A 21,380-nucleotide genomic window follows, 5' to 3' on the forward strand; every position below is an offset into this window, starting at 1 on the left:
TGCTGAATGTATTTGCTTCTTTTATTTGACTTTGATTTTTGTTTTTAACAGTTTTTTGAGGTTTCATTGAATATAAGAAACTGTACATATTAAAACATATGATTGGAAAAATTTTGGCGTATATGTACACCAAAATCTAGATAGTCAGCCATACTTTTCACATGACTTTTGTAACCATTTCACCCTGACCCTCTCCAGCCCTCCTCCCCTGATCCTTGGCAACCACTGTTTTGCTTACTGCCACTAGAGATTAGTTTGTATTTTCTAGAACTTTATATAAAGGGAGCAATATCATATGTATTCTGTTAGGTCTAGCTTCTTTCATTCAGCATAATTATTTTGAGACTCATCCATGTTGTAGAATGCATCAATAGTTTGTTTCTTTTTATTGATAAATGGTATTCTACTTATGACTATGCCACAATTTAAACTAATTGGTATGGATGCTCATTTGAATTATTAGGTTTGTTTTCAGTTTTGGGATATTACAGATAAAGCTGTTCTAAACATTCATATGCAAGTCTTTGTATAGACATGAGCTTTTATTTCTCTTGAGTAAATACCTGGGATTTAAATGGCTGAATCTTATGGTAGGTATACTTTTTACTTTATAGTTAAGTGCCAAACTGTTTTTCTTTTACATTTCTACAAGAGATATATTAAAATTCCAGCTACTCCACAACTTGCCCACACTTCATATGGTCATTTATTTTAATTTCAGCCATCTGAAGAAATGTATAGTAGTATCCCATTGTCATTTTAATTTGCATTATCCTGATGACTGATGATGTTAAGCATTTTTATGTGCATATTAACCATCCACATTTTTTTCTTTGTTAAAGTGTCTGTTCAAATCTTTAGCCCATTTTATACTGAGTTGTTTGTTTTCTTATTACTGGGTTTTGAGAATTCTTTATATTTCTGGATACAAGTATTTTATCAGATGTAGGATTAGAAAATATTTCTCCTGATTCTAGGGCTTGGCTTTCTATTGTCTTAAGTGTGTCTTCCAAAGGCCAGGAATTTTTAATTTTGATGTTTAATTTATTAGTTTTTTTTTTTTCTTTTACAAATCAAGGTTTTGGTGTCATATTTAAGAAATCTTTGAACAACACACACTGTGGCCTGTTGGCAGGATGAGGGGAGGGAGAGCATCAGGACAAATAGCTAATGAGTGTGGGGCTTAATACCCAGGTGACAGGTTGATAGGTGCAGCAAACCACCATGGCACACATTTATCTATGTAACAAACCTTCCAGTTCTGAACATGTATCCAGGAACTTAAAGTAAAATAAAATTTTAAAAGAGAGAAAGAAAGAAATATTTGCCAAATTTAAGGTCACAAAGACTTTCCTCTGTTTTCTTCTGAAGGTATTATAGTTTGTAGTTTTTATATTTTGAGTTAATTATTATATGTGATATAAGGTACAGTTTAAGGTTCCTTTTGTTTGTTTGTTTGTTTTGCATATAGACTTCCAGTTGGTCCTGTACAATTTGTTGAAAAAATTATCTTTTCTACACTGATTTTTCTTGGCACCTTTGTAAAAAATCAGTTGTTCATATATGTGTGAGTTGTTTTCCAGACTGTTGACTCCATTGCGTCATATTGATGTATTTGTCTGTCTTTGAGTTTATTCTTCTCTTTTGTATTTAATTGGTTTCTGCTTTGATTTTTATTTCTTTTCTTCCATTTTTTCTTTTTCTTTTGAGTTTAACTTGCCCTTCTTTTTCTTGTTTCTTAAGTTACATATGAAGTCATTTACTTGAAAAATTTTATTTGGTTTCAGTATTGGAGTATTTTCCAGATATTTTTTCTGTATTGATTTCTAATTTAATTGCATTACGGTCAGGGAGTATTCATGTATGACTTGAATACAAGTAAGTTTATTAAGAGTCGTTTTATGGCACAGATTATGGTCCCTCTTAGTAAATGTTTTGTGTACACTTGAAAATAATGTGCATTTTGCTATTGTTGGATGAAATGTTCTATAAATGTCAATTGTGTTGAGTTGGTTGATACTATTATTCATCTCTTCCTTGTCCTTATGGTCTACTTGTTCTATCAGTTACTGAGAGAAGGGTATTTAATTCTTCAACTATTACTGTAACTTTTAGATTTATTCTTGTAATTGTACATATTTTGGTGTCATGTATTTTAGAACTGTGTTATTACACACATAAATATTTAGGATTGTTATGTTCTCTTGATGAATCGAGCCCTTATTCATTAGGAAATAAACTTATTTACTTTGGTTATATCCTTTTCACTTTAATCTGCTTTATCTAATATTAACATAGCCACTCCATTTTTCTTTTACTCTGTGTTAGCATGGTATGAGTTTTTTATCCTTTTAGTCTTAACCTCTTTGTTTCTTTATATTTAAAATGTGTTACTGACAGATGACACGTAGTTGGGTCTTGCTTTTGTATTCAAACTGAAAATCTCTGACTTTTAATTGGAGTGTTTAGACCATTTACATTTAATCTGATGATTGATAGTATATTATTAAATTAAATCAGTCACCTTGCTACTTGTTTTCTTTTTTGCATCGATTCTTGGTTTCTGCTTTACTCATTTTCTGTCTTCATTTGGATTAAGTGAGTACTTTTTATGATTTTGTTTTATCTCTTTTGTGAGCTTATTTATAGAACTTTGATATTTCAGTGATGGCTTTAGAGTTTATGGTGTACACATTTAACTTAAGACAATCTACCTTCAAGTGATATTATATTATTTCATGTGTAGTATAAAAGCATGAATTAGCATACTTCCATTTCTCCCTTTTTGGCCTTTAAGCTATTGCGATTAGACATCTTACTTCTACATATGTTATAAACTCCATGCCACATTGTAACTTTTAAAATTAATCATTAGTTTTTAAAAAAATTTAAATAGGTAATAAGAAAAAATTACATTTTTCTCCATGCACTACGGAGTTACAATTTCCAGTGTTCTTCATTCTTTTGTGTATATCCATATTTCCATCGATTCCTTTTACCTGAAACCTTTAATGTAGCACAGTCCCACTACTGATGAATAATTTCAGCTGTCATATGTTTTTGTTTCACCTTTAGTTTTGAAAAATTTATTTCCTTGATATAGAGTTTTAGCCTGAAAGTTATAGGGTTTTTCTTCTTTAAATACCTTAAAGATGTTGCTCACTGTCTCCTTTCTTGCATTTTTTTCTGAGGAGAAATCTGTCATCTTTATGTTTGTTCCTATATATGTAATGATTGAAGTTAAGTTGCTATCAGCTTAAAATAGACTGTCACAAATATAAGGTTTTTATATAAGCCTCATGGTATACAAACACACAAAAACACCTATAGTACCTCTTACCACTTGCATTCAACAAAGTCCTGAAATTCTTAGCCAGGGCAATTAGGCAAGAAAAAGAAAAAAGAAGTGTCAAATAAGAAAAAAAAAAAGTAGGCAGATCATATGATCTTAAAATTTGAAAACTCTAAAGACTACACACACACACACACACACACACACACACACACAAACTGTTAGAACTAATAAATGAATTCAGTAAGGTTGCAGGATATAAAATCAACATAAAAAAATTAGTTGCATTTCTGTTCACAACAAATCTTCTGAAAAAATAACTAAAACATCCCATTTGCAACAGTATCAAAAGAATAAAATACTTAGAAATAAACTTAAGAAGCTGAAATACTTGTACACTGAAAACTATAACCATTGATGAAAAAATTAGAGAAGACACAAATAAAATACATCCCGTGATCCTGAACTGGAAGACTTGATATTGTTAAATGTCAATACTACCCAAAGCAATCTACAGATTTAGTATAACCTTGATCAAAATCCCAATGGCATATTTTACAGAAATAAAGAACTCACCCTAAAATTAATAAGAAACCACAAAAGATATCAAATATCCAAATCAATCTTGAGAAGAAAAACAAAGCTGAAGGCATCACACTTCCTGATTTCAAAATACATTACAAAGTTATAGTAATTAAAACAGTATAGTACTTGCCTAAAAATAAACATGGAGGCCAATGGGACAGAATAGAAAGCCCAGAAATAAATGTATGCATATATAATCAACTGACCTTTGACAAGGGTGCAAAGAGTACACAATGGGGAAAGGATGGTTTATTCAACAAATGATATTGGGAAAATTGGATGTCCACATGCAAAAGAATGAAAACTGGACTTTTATCTGCACCATACACAAAAATCAACTCAAAATAGGTTAAAGACATCAGTATAAGAAACTGTAAAACTTAAAATGAAACTGTAAAACTCTTAGAAGTAAACGTAGTGGGAAAGCTTCATGACATTAAGTTTGACAATTATTTCTCGGATATGATGCCAAAAACACAAACAACAAAAGCAAAATTAAATAGGTAGGACTACATCAAACAAAAAGCCTCTGCACCACAAGGGAAATAATCAACAGAATGAAAAGGTAGCCTACAAAAAGGAAAAAAAAATTGGAAACCATATATCTGGTAAGAGATTAATATCTAAAATATATAAGGAACTCCTATAACTCAATAGTAAAAAACAAAAATAAAGAATAAATAACCTGATTTAAAAATAGGCCAGGAAGTTGAAAAGACATTTCTCCAAAAAAGACATACAAATGGCCAACAAGTACGTGAAAAGATTCTTGACATCACTAGTTATCAGGGAAATGTAAGTCAATACCACAATGAGATATCTCACACCTATTAGGATGACTATTGTTAAAAAATAAATAAATAAATAAGTGTTGGTGAGGATGTGGAAAAATTGGAACCCTTGTATATGACTGATGGAAAGTAAAAAGTTGCAGTCTCTATGGAAAACAGTATGGAGGTTCCAGAAATAATTAAAAATAGAATTACCATGTGACCCAGCAATTCTACTACACATACACACACACACACACACACACACACACACACATATGTATAAGAATACGCACATTAATTCCAATAATCTGGATATATTAATATATATTCAAAAGAACTGAAGTCAGTATCTCGAAGAGGTATATACACTCCCATGCTCATTGCATCATTATTTCTAATAGCCAAGATATGGAAACAACTTAAATATTTATTGGCAGATTAACAGATAAAGAAAAATATGATACCTACACAAGGAAATATTAATAAGCCTTTAAAAAGGAGGAAGTCCATATGGAACAACATGGATGAATCTGAATGACATTATGCTAAGTGAAATAAGCCAGTCGCAGAAGGACAAATACTGCATGATTTCTCTTAAATGAGGTGTCTAAAACAGTCAGACTTGTAGATGCAGACAATAGGATGGTGGCTGCTAGGGAATGAGCAGGGAGAGAAACAGGGAATTGCTGTTCAGTGGGAATAAAATTTCATTTATGTAAGACGAATAAGTTCTAGACATTAACACTACAACATTGTGCCTATAGTTGGCAATATTGTATTGTATTGTACACTTAAAATTTTAAGAGGATAGATCTCATGTGAAGTGTTCTTACCACAAAAAATCAATCTGCACAATAACTCTAAAATAGAGGTAGTGTAATTTTCCCTATTATCAAATGAAGAATATAAGACTTAGGGGGTTAAAAAACTTGTCTAAGTCCTCCAAGACAGAAATTGGCAGAAACAAGATCCAAACCCAGGACTTGCAACTCCAGAAAACACAAATGATGAAATTATTGAATACTAGATTTGTCATTATAAAAGTCATACACTATAATCTATATATACTGCTTGCTGTTTTGTAGTTAATTACCTTGTAATGTATTAATTATTATAGTTACATCCATCATGATATTTGTCAGATTAACTGTATTACGAGTTTTTATTGAGACAGTGTGGACTTCACTCCTATATCATTAGTCTTCTTAGTCTGTTGTTCATAAAACTTGTTCAGCTATTCATGCAGTGTGATAATTTGCTTTTAAATTAAAAATATAAAGGGAAATTTGATCCCAGTCATATTATCTCAGTATATACTTTTAGAAAAGAGCTCCGAAGCACAGGTAGGGCTGCTAGAGGGGAGCATAACTGTCCATTCTACCTACTTTTTGTGACAGGAAATGGGGATTAAGGATACAGATTTAGAAGCTGAATAATAATTATAGTCTGATTTTTAGTATCAGACTAAAAATCAGTTATCAAAGTCCTGACATCTGTCCTGACTTGGATAAATGTTTAACCATCAAAAAATACTGCCCTTTGCCAGTAATCCAGCACTTTGGCAGGCAGAGGCAGGTGGATCACCTGAGGTCAGGAGTTCAAGAACAGCTTGGCCAACATGGCAAAACCCTGTCTCTACTAAAAATACAAAAATTAACCGGGTGTGGTGGTGCACGCCTGTAATTCCAGCTACTCGGGAGGCTGAGGCAGGAGAATCGCTTGAACCCGGGAGGTGGAGGTTGCAGTGAGCTGAGATCACACCACTGCACTCCAGCCTGTGTGACAGAGCGAGACTCTGTCTCAATAATTAATTAATTAATTTAGTTTATAAAAGTACCCTTTGCCCCTCTTTCTACCTAGTCCCGCTGTTTAAATGACTCCCTTAATATCTGTTATGTGGGAAAAACCAGCTGAAGTAGACTCACATTGAATCCTTTTTACCTCTGTCAATGATCAAGACCAGCTACATAGTTTGTGGGGTCCAGCACAAAATGAAAATGTAGAGCCTCTTCTTCAAAAACTATTAAGAACTCCAGAATGACAGCAGCAGAGCATTAAGCCAAGAGTCATGCCCTTCTAAATCTTTCTTACTTTTAAACCAAAGTGCAATACATGCACATTAAATAAAATTGGGAAAACTGAGATGAGAAAAATATAATCCATAGATCCAATAAGTAAGAACAGGTACTATTAGTATATTGATATATTTCTACATAGGTGTCTTTTTTATGGGAAATTTTTTTAAAACATAATTATAATAGGATACATATTTTTCCTGCATTTTTACAGGTAGCATTATATCATACATCTTTTCCACATTATCATTTAATCTTAATAGCCAATGCTTTGGGAGGTTCCCTTCTCTTATAGATTTGGAAAAAAGTTTGAAAGAAATTATCACCTGCTTCATCAAGTTTATCTATTGCAATGAAGAGACCTTGTGGAGAGAAGAGGGAAAACCACACTGGGTTTTAGTACCAGTCCTTCCAGTGACTGGCTGAGGCCCTGAACAAGCTTCTTAACTTTCTGAGTTCCATTTTCCTGCTCTATAATAGATAAGAATAAGAAAAGTAAATAGCAGTAACACAGTAATAGTATGAATAGTAACAATACTAGCTGTCGATTGTTGATTCCCTGGCAAATCTGTAGTGCCAGAAGTGTCAGTTATTGTGCTAGGCATTTACAAAACAAAAACAAAAACAAAAACAAAAACAAAAAAAAACACATTACCTCAAGAATAGTCCACAAAATCTTTCAGAGGAAGAATAAGCTTGAAGAGGTAAACTAATAGTTTTCAATACCTGTTTTAAGTCTTTAGTAGTTAAGACAGCATAGCATTGGTGCAGTGACAGACAAGCTGACCAGCCCAATAGCAAATAGAATACAAAAACAGACACAAAACAATTGTCACCTGATTTATGGTAAAGGCAGTTCTGCAGTATAGTAGGGAAATGATGGTCTTCAAAATACGCTGCCGGGACACCTGGTTAACTCTATGGGGAAAATGTACATTGACTTCTACTTGGCATCACATACAAAAACTAATCCCAGGTGTTACATATCACATCCAAATATGAAAGGCAAATGACAAAGATTGTAAGGTAAAACATAGGAAAACATCTGTGTGACCTTGGAGTAAAGATTTCTTAAAACTACACAAAAAGCATAAATTGTAAAAGAAAAAAAATTGATAAATTGGACTTCATTAAAATTTTGAAATTCTGTTCATGAAAAGACACCATTAAGAGAGTGAAAAGAAAGCCAGGCACGGTGGTTCACGCCTGTAATCCCAGCACTTTGGGATGCTGAGGTGGGTGGATCACCTGAGATCAGGAGTTCAAGATCAGCCTGGCCAACATGGTAAAACCCCATCTCTGCTAAAAATACAAAAAATTAGCTGGGCATGGTGGCAGGTGCCTGTAATGCCAGCTACTCTGGAGGCTGAGGCAGGAGAGAATTGCTTGAACCTGGGAGGCAGCTGTTGCAGTGAGCTGAGATCATGCCATTGCACTCCCGCCTGGGCAACAAGAGCTAAACTCCATCTCAAAAAAAAAAAAAAAGAGAGAGAGAGAGAAAGAGAGTGAAAAGACAATCACATAAACTTTCATTGTAATACATGGTATTTAACAAAGTTCTCACTTCTACAGTATATAAACAACTCATGAAAATTGAAAAGAAAAATACAGTTCTAATAGAAAAATGAGAAAAAATGTGGACAATTCACAAGAGAGAATATCCAAATTGTCACTAATCATTTGAAAAGTTGTTCAACTTTATTAGTCATCGAGAAAATGCAAATAAAAATATGATAGTTCTCACCCATCAGACAGAAAGAACCAAGTCTTAGTCAGAATATAGAGCAACCATGGCTCTCTTGCACTATTGGGGGGTTTATAAAATAGGGCAACCACTTTGAAAAACTATTTGGCAGAATCTAGTGAAGCAGAGCATATACACACTTTACGACTCAGCAATTCCTCTCCTAGGTGTAACACTAGAACTGTGTACATATGTTCATCAAATAAACATTTACAGCAACCTATAAATAGTAGGGGGAAAAAAAAACTTAAAAACTATCCAAATGTCAATCAGGAATAGAATGGATAAATAAGTTGTGGTATAGTCACGCAATAGAATACTGTGTGGCAATAAGAATAAATTATCCGCAACTCTATAAAACCAAATGGATGAATCTCAAAAACATAATGTTGAGTGAAAAGACCCAGATACAGAAGAGTATACAATGCACAATCTCATTTATATAAATTACCAGAAAATCAAAACAAGTTATGCTGTTAGAAATCGGGATAGTGGTGACCCTTGGTATAGGTGAGTGCTAAGAGTGACTTGAGGCCGAGCGCGGTGGTCACGCCTGTAATCCCAGCACTTTGGGAGGCCGAGGCGGGTGCATCACAAGGTCAGGAGATCGAGACCATCCTGGCTAACACGGTGAAACCCTGTCTCTACTAAAAATGAAAATAAAATAAAACAAAATAAATAGCCGGGCGTGGTGGTGGGCACCTGTAGTCCCAGCTACTCAGGAGGCTGAGGCAGAATGGCGTGAACCCGGGAGACGGAGCTTGCAGTGAGCCGAGATTGCGCCACTGCACTCCAGCCTGGGCGACAGAGCCAGACTCCGTCTCAAAAAAAAAAAAAAAAACCGACTGACTTGAAAAGAGCATGAGATGGACTTGTGGGTGCTGGTAATGATGGGATTCTTGACCTGGATACCATGATACGGGCAAATTCCGTTTGAAATGCACTGATCTGTATGTACCCTTATGTGCATTTTTCCATATATTAATGATACTTGTAAAAAAGTTAAAAATATATATTACTTTTAATTTGTACCCAACTAGTTAAGTAATATCCCCATTTTAAAGATGAAAACAATTAACTTTCTGACTTTCTTTTTATTCTAATTTCTATTGGCCTTCTTATTCTATTAAAGTTTCCAAATTTCTCTGCCCAAGGATAAGATACTTGAATATTTAAAACAATACTGCAACAAAGATTTCTTCTTTCCCTCCCTCCCTCCTTTCTTTTTCTTTCTTTCTTTCTTTCTTTCTTTCTTTCTTTCTTTCTTTCTTTCTTTCTTTCTTTCTTTCTCTTTCTTTCTTTCTCTCTCTCTCTCTTTCTTTCTTTCTTTCTTTCTTTCTTTCTTTCTTTCTTTCTTTCTTTCTTTCTTTCTTTCTTTCTTTTTCTTTCTGTCTTCTTTTTTGAGACGGAGTTTCCTGTTGCCCAGGCTGGAGTGAAATGGCATGACCTTGGCTCACTGCAACCTCTGCCTCCTAGGTTCAAGCGATTCTCCTGCCTCACCCTTCCAAGTAGCTAGGATTCCAGGTGCCCGCAACCAAGCCTGGCTAATTCTTGTATTTTCAGTAGAGATGGAGTTTTACCATGTTGGCCAGGCTGATCTCTAACTCGTGACCTCAGGTGATCCACCCTCCTCGGCCTCCCAAAGTGCTGGAATTACAGGCATGAGCCACCATGCCGGGTCAACAAAGATTTCTTAAACAGTGCAAAGGTTGTTATTTCTACTAATGTCTATTTATTTTCTATGCATTTTATTCTGTAGGCGAGCAAAGGTCGGACTACAATCGTGGTAGCACACCGACTTTCTACTATTCGAAGTGCAGATTTGATTGTGACCCTAAAGGATGGAATGCTGGCGGAGAAAGGAGCACATGCTGAACTAATGGCAAAACGAGGTCTATATTATTCACTTGTGATGTCACAGGTAATGCTTATGTGACATAATGCTATGTCAGCAGGGTTTAACGTTTCAGAGATCATACCACACTAGAAAACAAAAGTTGCAAATTATAATCTTAAATTTCAAAAAGCAACCAAGGTTTATAGTTCCTCAGTAAAGAAATGGAGTGTTTCAAATCCTCAGTGTTGTGCTCAATAATATGATGAAAGTTGAAGAACTAATGGGTACCTGGTACCTAATATCTGCCAGGCACACTTCAAATAGGCTTCAAAACTTGTATGTGACCAGAAAGGGTGGCTCACACCTGCAATCCCAGCAATTTGGGAGGTCGAGGCGGGCGGATCATGAGGTCAGGAGATCGAGACCATGCTGGCCAACATGGTGAAACCTTGTCTCTCAAAAACACACAAAAATTAGCTGGGTGTGGTGGTGTGTGCCTGCAATCCCAGCTACTCAGAAGGCTGAGGCAAGCGAATTGCTTGAACTAGGGAGTCGGAGGTTGCAGTGAGCCCAGATTGCGCCACTGCACTCCAGCCTGCCGACAGAGCGAGACTCCATTTCAAAAAAACGAACAAACAAACAAACAAAAACTTGTATGTGGAAGATACTGTGATGTTTGGTTAGAACACAAAGAAATATAACACACAGTCTTTACTTAAAGACTTAAAACTCAGCTACAGAGGCAAATTGCAAAATTGTGCATATAGATATTATTAGTTGTAAAAAGAAAAAGCAAGATTGATGGGGAGAGACAGAGCTATATTACCCACAAAAGGCTTCATGGAAGAGGTCTTTAAGGTTAAAAGGTGGGAGTTGGGGGTGAACATAAAGGACAAATTCAGGTAGGCAGAACAACAGCATAGAGGTAAGAAGGAACTTGGTGTGCGACTGAAACAAAAAGGAGGTAGCTTTCCTTAAGTACTTATGAGTGTTGAGGGTATAATGGAAAAGAGTTGGAAAATAACCATCAGATCATGGACGTTCTGAGAAGCCAGGCAGAAGGGTTGAGACTTAACGTATGTAGGAAGCACCTAAGACAATGCCTGGCACACAGTGGGCACTCAATAAACACTTGCTGAATGAAGGGATGCACACGTAAAACCTTACTATGTGCATGCTACCACATCACCACAGATGGACCAGAAAGCTCATACTGGGCAATCAAGCTGGGGCATGATGATGCTGGAGGCACACGGCAAATTCCCCTTCTTTAGGATCCATACTTGCGTGTGTCATGGATCCACCCTACTGGATTTCACATAACTTTCTCATTAGGGCACATTAATATGAGTCATGGGAATTAGGCTCTAGCTCTCTTCTTTGTTCTCGCCCAGCTTTCTTCTCTTGACCTGGAAGGCATCCTTTTTTCGAAGGGCTCTTCTACAGATAACTGATTTCAACCCTTTTTGGTCTTCTTCAGCTTTCTGATAATATCTTTGATGTCAATATTATTATTTTATAAATTAGGAAATTTAGAAAGTTATGAGCCTCCATCTCCTCATCAAGTTTATAACTTCAAATTTCAAACCCTAACTTTCTCCATTGTGCTAAAATGAAATATTTCTGAACATACCCTAAGAAGCAATAACAGTAAAATAGGTTTGAAAATGTAGTTTTTATTAATTGAAAAACTGTCTGATTCTCATTTTATTTCATATTAGTTCACATTTTGTGTCTCAAAAATAAAAGTGAGGTGTTATTTGATAATCGAATTTTTATTCCACAGTAGACCTAATAATTTACGAGGTTTAATATTTTGAAACTAATATGAGTTGGAATAATAGGAAATAACTGGTCGAATTAAGCCTATTTTAAGATTTTTTAAACACTATTAATACTAGTATAGTCAGATCTTTCTTTGGAGTAGTACATCTTTATTTTTTATTGTAATTAAACTAAAAATCCATTATAGGTCTTAAGTTAAATGCTTTCACAATGTATAAAAAGCAAAAATGGTGTGTTTGTGGGATGAGTGTGTAAAAATTTTAAACACCTTATTTAAAATGGATTAGTATTCTCTGGTTACCTAAAATGATGCCCAATCAGATATAACAACACCGTTTTAAATATTAATACTAAGTATAATATTCTAAGCATGGTACAGTAAATGTAACATACATAATATCTACACAAACACTTTTGAAATGTGAAGATCTGCACATTCTTATTTGCCAAGATTGACTGCGGTATCAAAATGTGTCAATTTTGATAATTCGTGATTATCACAAATATCACAGTTAATGCTGCTAAAATAATCCCGAGAAGCAATATAGCAATGTGGTTAAGATGATGAACTCTTGGTCACTACAAGTTGACTCTACCACTAATAGTTTTAGTCCTTGGCAAGTTATTTAAATTCTCAGTGCATCAATTTCCTAACCTTTAACAAGAGGGAAATGGTAATAACCTATTAATAAATTATTGTGAGTATTAAACAGGCAAAATCATGTGAAGTACTTAGAATTATTGTTAGTGTAATAAATTTTATTATGTTATTGACATTAACATTATTTTATCAAACTTTTTAGAAAAGTTCAAACTATGGAGACTAATATTATAATTATTTATTTAGACTGTCCATGGTTATATACATGTATATTGCTTTAGTGAGTTTGTATGTGAAAATGAAATATAAACATGTAGAGATATACACATATCAAAACTTACTGTCATCATTATTTTGTCCAGCGACCTTCTCAAGAAAAGAAAATTTCCTTGACTTATTAAAGCACCTTCTCAGAAAATGTATTATGAAGAGAGGTCAAAGTTCTATTTTAAACTTGCCACAAAGTGAGAAACTCCTGGGGGCAGGGGAGAAAAGCCAAACAAGGCAGGACATGACGGCTGGTTCCTGTAATCCCAGCTACTTGGAAGGCTGAGGCAGGAGGACTGCTTGAGCTGAGGAGTTTAACACTAGCTTGGGCAACACAGTGAGACCTACTCTCTAAATAAGTAAATAAATAAATAAAAACAAAAAATAAAAAATTTCAAAGCCATATAAAATATTTCTTTCATGGCAGAGACATTTACAGGAAAAAAGAGAAAATGATAGCAAAAAGGAATGCCTGATTAAAGATGTTTGGATAGTCCGGGGCTGGTTAAAGTTCATTGTCCCTTTAAATGACTGATTACAGTTGTTAGGCTTATCAAAGAATCACCGTGTCCCTGGAAACTCTTCCATGTGCACATTCTCCTTGTGCACCTAAATCGACCTACATTTTCCATCTCTTCCCCACGTTGGCCAGACCTGCTGGCAACTTAGCTGGGCTTCTCATTTCTCTTGTCCTTCTCCTCCCATCTCCTCCTGGGAAAGTCATTGATTTACTCAAACCACATTCAAATGAACAGAGAATCTGTAGCTCCTTTATTTCACTAAAGTGGTCTTTTTAGTAGAGACAGGGTGTTACCATGTTGGCCAGGCTGGTCTGAAACTCCTGGCCTGAAGTGATCCGCACGTCTCGGTTTCCCAAAGTGCTGGGATTACAGGGGTGACGACTGCACCTGGTCTTTAATGTTAATTTGATTGCTTTGGAATTTCTTATTGTTGAGGAGTAGGCCCTGTTAGTTTTGTGTTTTGTTCACAGTTCAGAATGGGTAGCAGGGGCAGGCCTGGAAAGCATGATTGTCTCCCAAGGTCTCTCTCAGGCCCAGCCTCACATATAAGTACCCAACTAAATACTACAAGGTCATAAGCCCCAGAAATGGCTAGGAGGAAGGCGTCAGAAACAGTATCTTCTGTCTCAAAAAGCTCCTGTTACTAAGATCTCTCCTTGTTAGTGATATAATTGCTTGGATTAAGGCATTGTTTTCTGCAGGTGATTATACATGTCTTTGGAAAAGAAAGGACAATGAGCTATTGTCAGTCACTAACATTTTAGTATGAGATAGACTTATCAGCTCTCTATCAAGCCTGAAAGCTGTTCAGCAAGAACTACATTAGAATATGCCACTTTCAATAGCAAAGGCGATAACAGCTTTAAAGAGATGCTTAATAAGTTTCCTTGAATTTTTAAGGCATTCTTATAATGATAACCTATATATTCTTCCTGTAAGGATATTAAAAAAGCTGATGAACAGATGGAGTCAATGACATATTCTACTGAAAGAAAGACCAACTCACTTCCTCTGCACTCTGTGAAGAGCATCAAGTCAGACTTCATTGACAAGGCTGAGGAATCCACCCAATCTAAAGAGGTAATGGCTCAGCGATCAACCAGTTTTTCCTGCATGTTTTCTAATTTTGATTTAATCCTTACAAAATTTAAAATTTATTTATAGTAAAATATTACTTACTGTAGCACTAAGCTCACAAAACATGTCTTTCCCAAATTTCACTCTAGCATCAGTGTGTCACTCTAGGTAAGGCTGCCTAATAAGGCTGCATTTATATCAGAGGCCCTTCTTTATTGGGGAAAAAAAAATCTCGTGAGACTGTTACATGATGTTTTTCCTATGAAGCAAACCATAGGTTAAAACAGTGCCTCGGCAAATGTGATACAGATACCAATGGTGATGCTCAAGATTAATTTGGGTCAGGTCAGAGGCATAAATGCATGCCACTCCCGGAATGCAGATAGGCCCAGCACATACACCACCCAGGCTTGCAGTCCCAGGGCACAACCTGAGAAGCCTTGCTCACTTGGATGGGAGTATTTGTTCCCATGCTTACTGTGCCCACTCCTACCCCCAAAGCCCCAGGCTCTGCCTGAGCCCCACATCACCTGCTTTGACTCTCCTTCTGCTGATACCCCTCATACCTCCCAGCAGTTCCCATCTGCACCTGAAGTCTCACTTTTCTGTCTCAATTCCACTTTCCTTCTCTTAACACGCCCGACACCTGCTTTGAGCCTCCACCACACATCCTGAACATTCTCTGCAGCACCCTTTTACAACACACCCTTCCATCTTAATCTCACCTTAACCCATGCTTCTCCCAGCCTCCGCATTCACTGAGCTCCAGCCCTCTTCCCAAACCCAGTCGACCTTTGCTAGCCCCTGGTGCTCTGTAACCTCACATGCCTTGAAATCCCTCACCCTTGCCCCTGTATCTCAGCTTCAGTCCCCTAACCTCCAGCATCCATACCATCTCACACCTATCCTTGGCCCATTGTTTCCTCCCAAACTAGAGTTTCCTTCTTCTCCTTGGGACTGACAGAGACTTGAGATTGAATCTCCTCTTAGCCCGTCTTCATGCCCACTTTCCTTGGTCTCATCTGTCAATTATCTGCCTGAAGCCCCTGGATTATCTGCCCCAAAACCCCTCTTGCCCTTCTCTGGCATTGCTAATCCATTGCTTTTAATTTTAGCTACAACTCTTTCCTTTTAGGTATGTGGTCCTCTATAGCCATTTACACTCAGACATTTTTCCTTTTCTGCTAATTTTATTTTTTTAAGTCTATTTAAATAAATAAGCATGCAAAGAAAAATAATGGTATAGATGGTATACCATATGACAAATGTATGTTAAGAATATAGTACAAGAAAGTTTGTACTGAGACACTAGGCAAGAGTGGAGGAAACACTGTGTTAAAACATCTATTGATAGCTGCTGGACCTCCCTCAGCAACTGCTGAAAACACTATGGAAATCTGCCTCTAGGTCTAAAAATTCACCGTATTTATGAAGTGGATTTTCAAAACCTAAGAAAGATAAAAAACGAAAATTAAAAAGGAATTTCCAGATTTCTGGACAAAATGATATAATTGGTTTACAATCTGATACAACTACGTGCTCCACACATGGAAACTGATAAAATATAAAATGAGAAAAAACAATAAAATGTATCTAGGCTCTAAAACAGGAGGAATATCTCTTCACACCAGAACTAGAGCAAAAGCACAAAGTGGTGAGCTGGACAATAGTCACAGACCTGCTCTGAAAAGAAGGCTGAAAAACCTGGTTAGCCAATGCCTGGAGCTAAAGTTTATAGAAATCCGTGAGCCTGGGGAAGCAGGAAACAGAGAAAGTGTCCTACAACCAAGAACCGAAATAAGCTAAGGAGTGACTCAATGGCCATATTTTTAAGGGACTCTTTCAGACTGTGGTAATCCAGTGAAAAATAAACAAGGAAGTGAAGAGACTGTAATAATCAATAATGAGCTGGGGACAGTGACAGGTCTATAATAATAGCTACAAGAGAGGTTAAGGTAGGAGGATTGCTTGAGCTTAGGAGTTCAAGGCTGCAGTGAGCTATGATCATGCCACTGTACCCCAGCCTGACTGACAGAGCAAGAACCCATCTCTGAAATAAATAAAAATAAAATAAATAGGCCAGGTGAGTGGTTCACGCCTATAATCCCAGCACTTTGGGAGGCTGAGGTGGGTAGATCACTCGAGGTCAGGAGTTCAACACCAGCCTGACCAACATGGTGAAACCCTGCCTCTACTAAAAATATAAAAAATTAGCTGGGCGTGATGGCACATGCCTGTAATCCTAGCTACTCGGGAGGCTGAGGCAGGAGAATTGCTTGAATCCGGGAGGCAGAGGTTGCAGTGAGCTAAGATCATGCCACTGCACTCCAGCCTGGGCAACAGAGTGAGACCCGGTCTCAAAAAACAAACCAAAAAACAAAATAAAATAAAATAAAATAAACAAAGATCAATAATGAAATGAAAAAGAAATGGAGCAGTATTTTAGAACAGAGTTAATGGGAGTTCTATTAGTCTGGGTCCAGTCAGGAGATAGAAAGCACACAATGAAAGAGAAAGTTTAGTATAATGAATCATTAAGAGGGGATTGTAGTATGGGGAGTTGGGTAGCGAAAGTTAAGACATCTCTACCATCTCACACCAGTTAGAATGGCGATCATTAAAAAGTCAGGAAACAACAGGTGCTGGAGAGGATGTGGAGAAATAGGAACACTTTTACACTGCTGGTGGGACTGTAAACTAGTTCAACCATTGTGGAAGTCAGTGTGGCGATTCCTCAAGGATCAAGAACTAGAAATACCATTTGACCCAGCCATCCCATTACTGGGTATATACCCCAAGGATTATAAATCATGCTGCTATAAAGACACATGCACACGTATGTTTATTGCAGCACTATTCACAATAGCAAAGACTTGGAACCAACCCAAATGCCCATCAATGATAGACTGGATTAAGAAAATGTGGCACATATACACCATGGAATACTAGGCAGCCATAAAAAAGGATGAGTTCATGTCCTTTGTAGGGGCATGGATGAAGCTGGAAACCATCTTTCTCAGCAAACTAACAAGGACAGAAAACCAAACACGGCATGTTCTCACTCATAGGTGGGAATTGAACAACGAGAACACTTGGACACAGGAAGGGGAACATCACACACCAGGGTCTGTGGTGGGGTGGGGAGAGGGGGGAGGGATAGCATTAGGAGATATACCTAAGGTAAATGACGAGTTAATGGGTACAGCACACCAACATGGCACATGTATACATATGTAACAAACCTGCACGTTGTGCACATGTACCCTAGAACTTAAAGTATAATAATAAAATAATAATAATAATAATAAAAGAAAGTTAAGACACCTCTAAAGAATACAGAAGTAGCAGATAAAAGTAGCACCCCACTACCGCTGGAGTGAAATACAGCACCCATCGATGATCCCTTTCTTCTCTCCCAGCAAGGCGGAGAGGCAGGCCTCAATGGAAAGGGCACAGCTGTGGTTCACTGGATGGCAGAGCAGTTGCTGTGGTACCTTGCTGGTGGGGCTTGCTGGAAATCTGCCCTCAAGGGTGGCAAGGGAGACCTTCCACAGGACGGTGCTGAGCTTCAGAACCTGTCAGGTGCTGGGGAAACTACTGGCCACTGAGCACTACTGGAACAAGAAGCTAGCCAAGATTGTCATCTGCAGGAGTCTAGGGCAGTTCTGCATGTGGGAGGGTGCAGGCATTAGTGACCTGGCTGAGACATAGGACTGTGCTCATAGTTATGCCTCTGTAACCTAAGCCAAGAGCTAGAGAAAGCACCCAGTGGCCACACAGAAGAGAAAGCTGCATTCTGCAGGCACCTGCCTCTGAAAAACTATGCAGGCAGAACAGAGGAGAAAAAAAACCATCCTGCAGGAGCTTTCCCAGGGAGCACCAGAAAGATAAGGAAGAAAAACCTCCTCCTGCAATGTCTTTGCGGCACCCTCTACTGACAGGGCTTAACCTCTTGCCCACTGGTAAAGGAGAAATATTTATTAGGCAAAAAAGTGAATTTGAACCAGAGAGGCAATAAGTCAATAACCAGGACAGGGGTGGTAATATTTCAGACAGGGGCACAGCAAGCATGAGGGCCTGGATTTGGGGGTCCCAATGACTAACGACAGGGGTAGGCAGAGAGGCGTGTGGGACACTGAGGGACCGGTTCATGCAGGGCCTCTTAGGCCATCATGACAAGTTTGGATTCTATTCTTCCTCTAACAAAAAACCTTCAGGAGTTTTTAAACAGTGGTTCATGACCTATAGGGAATTTCTGAATAGATTTCAGAGCCCATTAACCTGAATGAATAAAAAATCACAACTTTTTCCCCCCATTAACCCTTGATAGAAATGTAACATTTACTTTGTGAATCTAAGCAACAAACTACAATAGTATTACCAGTATTTGTGACATCACGAACGGATACCACAGAAATTTTAATATAACATTGCCCTTATAGATAATTTACAATATATTTACACTCATCATTATTATATCTTATGTTCTAATAATGAACCACATTCATAACTGTATCACAACTTTAGGTTACTTGTTAAATATTTTGAATACGATGTTTCAATGGAATTGGCTTTCTTGGAGTCCTATGTATCATTTAGTATATTTACACATTTCTTCAGGGAAGGATTCCATAGACTTCACCAGTCTTCCAAAGGAGTCCACGAAATAAAACAGGTGAAGCACTGCTGCATTAGAGGGTCTTATTCAGAAGGGCACATGGTCTGATCTACTCCATGTGGCTACAGTTTGGAGAACAGTGTGTGGGGGCCAGAGTAAGATGAGGGAAAGCAGAACGGAGAGGAGGTGATGGAGGCTGAATAATGAACTTGATTGGTCTCACTAAAGCTGTCAGCGGAGAAATAAAATATAGATGGATAAAAGAGTAGGACAGGGGAATGAGAGTCAGGACCCTGCACCATTTAGATTCGGATAGAAAAAGTCACTAGTGAAGGGATCCTAACAAATGGCTGGCAAAATAAGAGGAAACCCAGGAGAGTGTTGTATCATAGACACCAAAAAAGAAATGTGGTACAGAAGAAGGAAGAGATCATTTTTGTTAACTGCCGTGAAGAATCACATAAAATTAGAGATTTTCACTTTCAACCAAGATAGATTAACAGGGACTAGATTTACTTTCCTGCTTGATAGAACTAAGAAACTGAACAAAATATGTGAAATAATGGCTTCTGACATTGGACATCATGCAAAGTAGGATAGTGATCTCTGTGGAAGGAGAAATAAATGAGATGAAACTTGTCATTGACCCAGTTTAAGGTCTGAGTAGTTTTCAGGCCTCGGAGCCTAGAGGGAAAACACAGACAAAACCCAGTGGACTTTTTTTTTTTTTTTTTTTTTTTTTTTTTTTTTGAGACGGAGTTTCACTCTTGTTGCTCAGGCTAGAGTGCAATGGCGCAGTCTCGGCTCACCGCAAACTCCGCCTCCCGAAACTCAGTGGACTTTGAGTTGAGGAGACAGAGCTAAGAGTTGAAGGAGGCCAAAGTAGCCAGAGGTTTCAGAGCAAAGAACCGGAGAGGAGAGAACTTCTCAGAAAGAGAAAAGCCCAGAGATCTGCAGAGGTTCTCCTTTGAGTCTTCATCCGACTACTGATCAGTGTATTTATTGAGGAAACTACCAGAGGCAGGGTATATATCTACCAGAAAAGATTAAAAGGAGCAATTCTTAGAAGTCACACAGGGCCAGGAAAAGTTCTTATTAAACTAACTGGAGTAGAAAATCTTTAAATTCATTTTTATTTATTTATTTATTTATTTATTTATGATTATTATACTTGAAGTTTTAGGGTACATGTGCACAACGTGCAGGTGAGACACTGGGTAAAGTGTTAAGAAAGATATTGCCTCAGAGGGGAAGATAATTAGTCCTAGACTAAACTCTGCACTAAACCTAACTAACAAATCCTAATAGCAAGACTCAAAAGGATTAAACTGTTTCCAAGTAATTTAAATGTGTTCCAGAACAAGGCTCAGTAACATTTACGAGAATTCAGAAATACCTAGTCCCCAAAAGTTTAAAATTTACAATGTCTGGCATCCATTCAAAAATCACCAGGCAAGCAAAAAAGGAGAAAAAAAATGTACCCAAAATGAAGAGAAAAATCAGTCAATAATAGAAATAGACCCGGAAATGGCACACTTAGTAGAGTTAGTAGAGACATTAAGCATTTATTATATCTATATTCCGTATGTACATATGTCCCCAAAGGAAGTCCAAATCATTGAAGAAATAATGCTTTAAAAATTTGCCAATTTGATGAAAACTTAAAATCCACAGATTCAAGAAGCTCAATAAATTCTAAGCATAAGAAACATAAGAAATCCTACACCTAGGTATATCATAATCAAACTGCTTAAAACCAATGTTAAGGAGAAAACTACTAAAGCATCCAGAGAAATTGACACAATATAGATGAGGAAAAAGACAAGAAAGCTACAAACTTCTCATCAGAAACAATGCAAACAAGAAGATAATGGAGCAATATTTTCAAAGCACTGAAAGAAAAAGAAAACACCTCAAATCAGAATGCTATTTACAGAAAAATGCCCAATAAAAAGGAAGGCAAAGTTCAGACATTTTCAGAAATTAAAGGTTAAAATAATTAACTACCAGCACACCTACACTACAAGAAATATTAAAGGAAGTCCTTTGAGCAGAAGGAAAGTGATACTAGATGGAAATCTGAATATACACAAAGGAATGAAGAGTATCAGTAATAGTAAATATACAAGTTACTATAAAAGAATGGTTTGTATATTTACATTTTTGATATGTTTAAAAGCATACTTATTTTTCAAAGAAAAAAGA

General features: G+C 36.9%; 1 protein-coding gene across 2 annotated transcripts in view; it reads left to right on the plus strand.

Moving 5' to 3' along the window:
- ABCB5 (ATP binding cassette subfamily B member 5) overlaps window positions 1–21,380 on the plus strand; it is a 141,342-nt gene that overhangs the window by 55,610 nt on the left and 64,352 nt on the right. For both annotated transcript variants that reach the window (NM_001163941.2, NM_178559.6), the window contains 2 exons: window positions 10,229–10,390; window positions 14,420–14,560. In NM_001163941.2, coding sequence (NP_001157413.1) covers window positions 10,229–10,390; window positions 14,420–14,560 — 303 coding nt within the window. The remainder of the gene's footprint in view (window positions 1–10,228; window positions 10,391–14,419; window positions 14,561–21,380) is intronic.

The sequence above is a fragment of the Homo sapiens genome, chromosome 7 (genome assembly GCF_000001405.40).
Source record: "Homo sapiens chromosome 7, GRCh38.p14 Primary Assembly".
Lineage (NCBI taxonomy): Eukaryota > Metazoa > Chordata > Mammalia > Primates > Hominidae > Homo > Homo sapiens.